Here is a 9,853-nt window from a genome sequence, read left to right as displayed (position 1 = left end):
GCAAGCAAAGAGTGTTTTATTGCCAGTATCTAAAACAAATTTTATTGGAAACTTTTATGTTTGTAGGTTTGAGTAGTTTTTATAGTGAAGAGTTCTGAAAATTGCCATAAAATTTTGCTTTGGGGGTTATGATTACATTTGTATATTTCTCAAACTTATATAAATAAAAAAGACAGTTTTTACTGTGAAAGCTTAAAAGGTTAGGGAGGTATTTGGTCTGTGATGAACGTTTTATAGGTTTGATGTTATCAGAATTTATTTTAAAAATATCAGTAAAAATACAACCTTAGAGGTCTTGATAAATTGCAAAATACTTGAAGTTTTCCTTTTAAAGGGACTCACTAATTTAATGAATTTTCTGTACTTTGAAAACTATTTTTAATATTAGCTGATGCTACAATTGTACATGGTCTGATACATAATTTATAATACTTTTTGGTGGCTAGATAGTATTAGGGGTAGAATTTTCCTTGCGAGAGCTGTTTAAGCATAAGCTGGACAATAACTGTGCTGGGAAATTATAGAGGATATTGAAACATCATAGAGGAGACTAGATGAACCCTAAGATCACTTTCCAAACCAGACAGTGTGATTTTTAAGCTGTACAAGGAGACATTTTAAAATTAATATGTGGATATGTTCCTCTTTCTTCTTCTTCTTTTACACCTTCCTTTGCAAAAACACGTTCTAAATCATATAGGAAGAGGAGAAGGAAGTGGGAAAAAAGAAAGAGACCGGGGGGAAGGAAGGAGGGAGGAAATTTTTATAATGTAAATATGTATCACACATGATCTGAATAACTGTGAAAAGAAGGAAACATTTCTTTATTTTCTAAATGATGTAACTGAGTCAATGCAGAGCTAGAATTCAAACCTAAGTCTTCCTGATACCCAAGCTTGTACATTTCCCCATTATACCTTAAAAACATTTTATTACTTAGCATGAAAGGTGATGTGATAAGTGAGAAAGTGACATGTTATGAAGCAGCTTGCCAATTCATTATGACTCTCAGATAGCATGGATTTGTGCTTCAAAAGTAGTTGTCTGTATATTTCTGGGTCAGTCAGTCAGACAATCTGAAAATATCTCTTGGTCACCTATTATGTTTGAGACACTTCTAGGCACTGTAGATATAGCAGTAGGCAAAGTAAATAGAGTTATTGCCCTTAGAAAGCGTACCTTCTAAGTCATAAGGGAAAATGGGAGAGGAGACCAACAATGAACATAAATAAGACAACTCCAGACCTCGATAAGTGTTTAAAAGAAAAAAGAGAGAGAGTGAAGAGAGAAGCAGCATCATGAAAAATGATCTTTTGTTTTGAAGAAAAAAAAAATGAGGTCATGCCATGAAGGCAGCTTTAGATGTGATCAGGGAAAGGCTGTCTAAGGGGTGTCATGTGAGTTGAGATCTGTATTAGCATGAGAAGATCTGAGATCAAATCATTTCCAACTGGAGGAACAGCAACTGCAAAGCTCTGTGGCGAGAATATCCCTGGCAAATCCACAGGACAGAAAGTGCAGCCATCGGTACATGAGGAATACATGGAAGGAAGTGGCAGCATTTGGTGAGTAGTCTGGGGCCAGTCATTTACATCTTATAGATCACAGTGAAGAGTGTAGATGTTATTCTAATGATGATCAGAAGGCTCTGAAAAAGTTCAAGAATGGGAAAAATCAGGTATTTGTATTTTTGAATGATCATTCTATTCTGCAAAGAATAGGCTACAGAGAGGCAGGAACAGATTCATGGGGAGCAAGTAGGTGCCTGTTGCAATCAATTATCCAGGAGAAAGATAGACCAGGGAGGTTATAAGAGTGTTGTGAGTAGCAGTCAGATTGTGGGATTATATTTTGGAAGAACAGTTGACAGGAACTAGTGATATATTTTCATATAAGGACTGGAAAAAAGAGAGAAATTAAGGATGACTTGTAGATTTTGGAACCTAATTCCATTAGTTTTAAAAAGTGACATTTATCAAAATGGAAAAAAAATATAAAAGAGGACAGGAAAGAGAATTGGAGGATGACATGGAAACCAACAGTTCTGCTTTGGTAGAGTTAAGATTCAGACAAAGACATTTTGACTTTTAAGCAAAAAAGTAAATTTGGTTTGGCTATGAGTAGAAGGGGCCTTGGATGGTATAAAAAAGGTTGAGTGTAACTTGCTCAGGGCGTTAGAAACCATGCTAAAAAATTAGAAACCACGCTTTATCTTGTGGGAAGTGGGGGGTATCATAAGAATTTCTTTCAAGAAAATTACATGATTACATTTGTGTTTTAAACAGTTGCCTCTACCGACAGTGTGAAGACTGGGATAGAGGCAGAAAGAAAAATTAAGAGGCTCTTATGGTCATTCAGGAAATCCAGGAAATAATGAGGAAATTACCAGGTCAATGAGGATGGAGAAGGCCAATGAAGAATAGATTTATGAACATTTCACGAAACTTAAGAATAGGATTAGTGAATGGATGTAGGGATGAGGAAAATGCTGAGCTGCACAGAGTCTGGGTTTGCAAGTCTCAGGTAGAAAGATAGCCGTCCTTGGCCGGGCGCGGTGGTTCATGCCTGTAATTCCTGCACTTTGGGAGGCCGAGGCAGGTGGATCACCTGAGGTCAGGAGTTCGAGACTGGCCTGGCCATCATGGCAAAACCTCGTCTCTACTAAACATACAAAAAATTAGCTGGGCATAGTGACAGTCACATGTAATCCCAGCTATTTGGGAGGCTGAGGCAGGTGAATTGCTTGAACCCAGGAGGCAGAGATTGCAGTAAGCCTAGATCATGCCATTGCACTCCAGCCTGTGTGACAGAGCAAGACTCTGTCTCAAAAAAAAAAAAAAAAAAAAAAAGTAGCTGTCCTTGTCTTAGAGAAGTGAAAGATATAGAAGGAAACAGGAAGAGAAATAAGACATTTTCTCAGAGATCATAAATTTGATTTTGGACTTGCTGAATTTAAAGAATTGTTCAAGTTGATTTTTTTTTTCAGTAGGCACCTGGAGATATAGTATTCTTAGAGAAGTTGGATCTGGAGATCAAAATTATGAAGTTAGCAGCTGAGATGTGTTAACTAAAGCCATGGGAGTGGATTGAAGATGATGCTGCAAAATTTAGGGGAAATTGATGTTGGTTATGCAGTAAGATATCTGGGATTATCATGCTTTTCTCTGGGTAATATTTTTACAGACTAAAATAACCAAAGCTACTTGCAAAATACAGCAAACAAAAGAAATTTCCACAGTATGTGCCTACGTCTTTTGTTGCCCTGTTACCACTTTTCCCCTCCTCTCATTCTCTTGCTTTACCCTTTTACTGTTCAACATATTAAAATGAATTTTCCCACTTCCCTCCTCTCTTCAATATCATTCTCTCCCTCCACCACATGTATGCTACTTGGCACTTGGATCCAAAACATTATATAAGATATTTAGCCTTTTCTTTTTTTTTGGTGATAAAAATAACTCTTAATCAAATAAAATTAAGGTTATAGGAAGAAGAATGCCCTATACAGTATTGACCTTGTGAAGACGAATAGGAAAGTTAACATCGTGTACTGGAAAGGTCAGGGAATGTGTTGCTGAAGAATCTGGGTTTCACATCCAGCATTTCTACCTACTAATAAATGACCTAGGTCATTTATGTTAAGTCTTTTGAATTTCTGGTTTTGGTATTTAATGTTTATATAAGAGTTTATCTGTCTGGTGTTAGGAAATCTAAATGTCCACAGGCAAAATAGTGAAATTAGACTCATATCTTATACCACAAAATAACAAAAATTAACTTAAAGTGGGTCAAAGCTCTCACCTAAGACCTGAAACTGTAAAACTCCTTGAAGAAATCATAGGGGAATATCTCCTCATAAGAATACACACCTCACAGGATTGAAACAAGTATTAAATGGAATGATATATGTGAATGTGTTATGTAGAGAGCTGTACAGATTTTAGATTTTCATCTACTGTCTTGCTTACTCAATAAATGTTTGTTGAATGAATGATCACCTCTATTAAGAATTCTTGGATATGCTCCTATAGATCTGTCAGTCTACAAAATTGTTTCTTTAAGCATTTGCAGCTGCAGGATTTCTGGCCTTAGATATGCCTTTAATACTCTTCTGTATTTTTGGTTCTACTGGCTTATCTTAAGTCACACATGTATTAAATTATTATATGAAATGTATATAATAATTAGTAAATTATGCTAACACTAATATTCACTTTCTTCTTATTGATTCCACTTTTTCAATAATCTTGATTTCCCTTTTTCTGTAAATCTTTTTCATTCAATTCTCAACTATATACAAAGTACATACAAATATTTAAAATACTCTATAAAACTAAACATAAATGTATAGAAACAAGAGAAGGCTATCATTTAGTTAAGTCCCCATTCAGCCATGATTTTTATAAGTCCTAGTAAATCATATTTAACTTCTAACATTTTTCCTTATTGTAAAATATTCAAAATTGACTTGGAGGCTTGTCTTAAAAACTTGAAACTTAAAAACGATGATTACGTCTTAGGTCCTCTTATAGACCTGTATATAATTCTATGACCTCAAAAAGAGCATTGCACTACACAGTCTGTACTTTCTTTTTTTTCTATCAAATACAGTAAAGCCCCATTCCAAGCTCTGCTATTAGATTTGGCTAGATTGTAGTCAAAATTTAGCATAAATAAACTATAAAGATTAATAATGATGAAAATGTAATACTAGACCATAGACTTTATGATAGCAAAGACAATTTCATATATTTTAAATATACTTCCAGGATCTAGCACAAAAATTACCCATAAAAGCTTATGTTGAACTAATGTATTTTGTGTGCAACTACTTTTAGACAATGATTTCATAAATGTTGTTTCATGTAATTAAAGATTTCTTTCTTACCAATTTAGAAAGCACACTCATTGTCCACTGGCTTCTTTCTATTTCTTCAACATGCCAAGTTTGTTCTACTTCAGGATCTTTACCCTAAATATTTTTTTCTCATGGAATGCTCTTCCCCTGTAGACCTTTATACAGTTTGTTCCCTCACTTGGTTCAGGTCTCTCCTCAAATGGCCTTCAAAGGGTCACCCCTTGAACACATGATTTAAGTAATGTCTCCCTACCTTGGCCCTTGTTACCAATATCTGTGTAATTTTCCTAATGTATTTTTATTTATACCATTTACCACTATCAGAAATTAAACATTTCGTTTTACATTTGTATGTTGTCTGTTACTCCCACTAGAATGTGAAGTCTGTCTGTGTGGACAGGGATCTTGTCTGCATGGATCACTGCTATATTCCCCAAGCTTTGAAGAGTGGCTGGAAAATATTAGGTACTCAATAAAAATTTATTGAATTCACAAATGCATTCCTGATATTTTCATTTGATTTATTTCCCAGAAAACCTGGAAGATCTTTGAGAGTAGAAATTAAATCCTGTATCTTACTAGGATCAAAGTAACTGAGTAAATATTTACATTTACTGGGGCCTTGTTCTAATCCAGGCACTTGCATTTCCGCATTTAGTCCTCCCAAAAACTTTCTGAGGTGGTTATTATTATCTCCATTTCAATGATAAGGAAAAAGATTCAAAGAAGTTAAGTAATTTCCTCAGAATTATTCAGTTAGTCAGTGGCAAAGCTGACATTCAAACTGTTTATTTTGACTTGAAATCCTATGCTTTCTATTACTCACCTATGCTCTATTTAATATGGAAGCCGTCAGAACATTCCTGAATAGAAACATATTGCATTTCGTTTCTATTTTACAATCCAGTAGCAAAAATTTCTGTAGTTTACTTAATACTAAACTTGCAATTCCATGCTGCACTCAACAGTGCTGTCACACTGGGAACATCCTTTCTAACCTCTAAAACCTCCTGCTCCAAAATAGCCTCTCCGAACCTAATGGCTCCCAAATTTTCTTCTACTAGAATTCATTCATTCAGGGAACATTTTACACCAAATCTTAACAACTGAGTGAATCTCATCTGTGCGCTATCTCATCACTTAGGATCATAAAAACACGTTGCATTTTGTTAGATTTGTGTTACTAATATACTAAGTATAAAATAATTTGATGTACAGCAGAAGTTGTTAATCCATTACTAACAAAAATAAATAATAAATATTTAAACAAAAAATTGGAAAGATATAAAATCAAAGAAAGAATTGTCAAAAAATAATTGCATGAGATAAGTAAAACAAGCAAAGGAAGACTTTATTCAAGAGTATTGTAATAGGGAAACAGATTGAACTCAATTCTACTGTAACAAAAGGTGAGAGAGTTTTCAACACTGGGATGAGCTAGAAAAGAAGTCCTGGAGGGTCTTAGGGGGAGCTTGGTCAATGTGGGCATCTGTGCTTGCTTACTGGTACTTATTGAAGTTAGGCTCCTACCCTCCCTTAGTGAGGGAGAGAATAGGAGCCCTATATTTCTTGATAACTCCATTTCAAAAGGACAGCCCTCAGGTCCTTGAGAAAAACATTCCTGTATTGCAGAACTGGCAAGAGATTGAGAGATTTACATTTCATAAGAACAGAGAAAGAATTTACAAGTTTTCTGAAGTAAATATTCTAAGAAAAGGGAGGTCAGAGGCCTATAGTCAGGAAGAAGCCTGTCTAAAATTTAGTCAAACTCTGGGGAATGTTAAGGCCATTTGGATCAACATAAATAGGTGTTCATCAACATATACAAAGTATTCATAATAATTGTGTCTTCAGCTAATATTGATAAATGGCTTTAAGTTTTTCTTTTGAGTCTGTCTTACAATGTTATAATTATTGTAGCTTATCAGATGAAATAATCTCTTACAGCATTATGAAGTTTCCTTCCCTCCATTCCAGAGATTATTATTCAGTGAGAACTCTTTGTTAGACAATACCCTCATCTTCTTAACTAACCAAAAGGGCCAATTTTGGAGTGGGAACTTCAGATCTTCTTTATGAAACATCTATAAATGGAAAGGATATTTCAGAAACCTAAAAATTTAAACACTTCACAAAATAGCATTTGTTATGGTATTCAGTAGCTGTGTTCCTGTAAGTCTTGAATATAGAAATTCTGACAATTTAATCATTGTAAATCTTCCATAGAATTTATTCATTCAATAAATACATATTAAGTTTATTACCAACTATATGTCAGTCACACTTCTACTTCCAGGCACTGAGGATTTATCAATAAAATGAAAATGCCTGCCTTACTAGAGCTTACATTCCAGGTGGGCAGAGGGGAAAAAGACAGTAATCAATAAAGTTAATACCTAAGTAAATTATATAGGGAATTAATGTTGAGTACTAGGTCAAGGTAAAAGGAATTGAGAGGGCAAGGAGTAGGATAGGGACAGATTATAGTTCTAAATAGGGTTTGTGAGGCAGGTCTTATTGAGAAGGTAATGCTGGACAAAATGTCAAAAGAGGTAAGGGAGTTAACTCTGCAATATCTGAGGAAACAGTGTTGTAAGCAGAGAAAACAGTAGCCCCGTGTCCCAAAGATGGGATCATACCTGGTATTCCTGGAACAGCAGTGGTTCATTTCAACATAGCTACAGCCCAGCGAGAAAGAGCGGGGAGTAGTAAAGTTAGAAAGGGGGCAGTGAGTCCTGTGCTTTAAAGGGTCCCATAGACCCTAGAGGGCAACGTCAAAGCAAGGGAAATTGTTAGCTGGTCATTGAGGTAAATCAACTTTTAAAGCAATTATGTATTATAAGAGCAAATAATATTTTGTACATGGATTACTTCTTAAACTATATGTTTATTCGTTTGGGTTTTGGTAAATTATATATTTGTATAGAAGCTTATCTGTATGGTATTGAGGAAACTAGATATCCACTTATCTGATAAAGGATTAATATTAAAAATATATGAGGAACTCATAATTATATAGCAAAATAACAAATAACTAGGTTTTTAAGATTTGGAAAAGGATCTGAAAAGAATGAAATCAGACTCTTATCTTATGTCACATACAAAAATCAACTCAAAATGGACTAAAGACCTAAACCTAAGACCTGAAACTACAAAACCCCTTGAAGAAAATGTAGGGGAAAAGCTTTTTGACCTTGAACTTGGCAATGAATTTTTGGATACCACACTAAAAGCTCTGATAACCAAACCAAGTGGGACTATATCAAATTAAAAGCTTCTACAAAAGAAAGGAAACAATGTAATGAAAATGGAGCCTACAGGTTGGAAGAAAATATTTGCAAACCACTTATCTGATAAGAGATTAATATTAAAAATATATAAAGAACTCATATAATTATATAGCAAAATAACAAATAACTAGATTTTTAAAATTTGGAAAAGGATCTGAATAGACATTTCTCCAAAAAAGACATTAAAGTAGACAAGGAGTATATTAAAAAGTGTTCAGCATCACTAATCATCAGGAAAATGAAAATTAAAACCACAGGGAAACATCACCTCATACCTGTTAGGATGGCTATTACCAAAAAGATAGGCAATAACAAATGTTGGCAATAATGTGAAGAGAACCCTTTTATATTGTTGGTAGAAATGTAAATTGGTGTAGGAATTATGAAAAACAGTAAGGAGATTCCTCAAAAAATTAAAAATAGAACTACCATATGACCCGGCAATCCATCTTCTGAGTATATAGCCAAAGGAAATGAAATCAGCACCTTGTAGAGATATCTGTACTTGCATGTTGATTGTGGCATTATTCACTGTAGCTAAGACATGGAAACAACCTAAGTGTCTGTTGATTGATAAAAGGATAAATTGTGATGTGTGTGTGTGTGTGTTATAAAATAATACTGTTCAACCTTAAAACAGAAAGGGATCCTGCCATTTGTGACAACATGGATGAAACTGGAAGGCATTACGCTAAGTGAAATAAGCCAGACATAGAAAAAACTACTGCATTGTGTTAGTCTGTTCTCACATTGCTATAAAGAACTGCCGAGATTGGGTAATTTATCAAGAAAAAAGGTTTAATTGGTTTGCAGTTTCACAGGCTGTACAGGAAACATGGCTAGGGAGGCCTCAAGAAATTTACAACCATGGTAGAGGGTGAGGAAGAAGGAGGCATGTCTTATGTGGCTGGCCAGGAGGAAGAGAGAGAAGGGGGAGGTGCCACACACTTTTAAACAACCAGATCACCTGAGAACTTACTCACTATCATGAGAACAGCAAGGAGGAATCTGCTACCATGATCCAATCACCTCCTAACAGGCCCCTCTCTAACACTGTGGTTTATAATTCAACATGAGATTTGGGTGAGGACACAGAGCCAAACCATATCATACATCATCTCATTTACATGTGAAATCTATTTTTTTAAGTTGACCACATAGAAACAGAATAAATTACTAAGAGTGGGGTGGGGGAAATGGGGAGACATAGGTCAAAGGGCATATGATGCAAATATGTAGGATGAATAGGTCTAGACTTCTAATGTACAACATGAGGACTATGATAACAATATTGTATAAATACTGAAAATTTGCTAAAATAATAGATTTTAGGTACTCATCACAAAAGAATTGATAACTATGCAAGGTAATGGAGGTGTTAATTTGCTTGACTATAGTGCCTACTTCACTGTGTATATCAAAACATCATGTTGTACACCTTAAATATATATAATAAAAAGAATGCTAATAAAAAGAAAGACTTAGAAAAAAAAGAGCTCACTGGTGATGTCAGGGTTTTGATTAAAGGAGAAAGTTAACTCTAAATGAGACAAAATCAATCACTCAAATAATAATAATAAACAATCCACTTATAGAAAAAAACAGATTTTAGTAAATTCTTCTACTTTTTAACTAATCGATTTGTCATCCTATCATCAGTCAGACAGATGATAGGATGGTACCTATCATCCTAGGTTCCTATGAT

At 34.7% G+C, this 9,853-nt stretch overlaps 1 long non-coding RNA gene across 3 annotated transcripts in view; it reads left to right on the top strand.

Annotated features, from left to right (window-relative positions):
* The first annotated feature begins 1,442 nt into the window (after positions 1–1,442).
* The window catches only part of LOC105377302 (uncharacterized), a 47,430-nt gene continuing 39,019 nt past the window's right edge, over positions 1,443–9,853 (top strand). For all 3 annotated transcript variants that reach the window (XR_938927.3, XR_938924.3, XR_938926.3), the window contains exon 1: positions 1,443–1,565. This is a non-coding gene — a long non-coding RNA (uncharacterized LOC105377302). The remainder of the gene's footprint in view (positions 1,566–9,853) is intronic.

Source organism: Homo sapiens, chromosome 4 (genome assembly GCF_000001405.40).
Source record: "Homo sapiens chromosome 4, GRCh38.p14 Primary Assembly".
Taxonomy (NCBI): Eukaryota; Metazoa; Chordata; class Mammalia; order Primates; family Hominidae; genus Homo; species Homo sapiens.
Note: the sequence above shows the minus strand (reverse complement) of the source record. Positions and strands in the feature narration are given on the sequence as shown.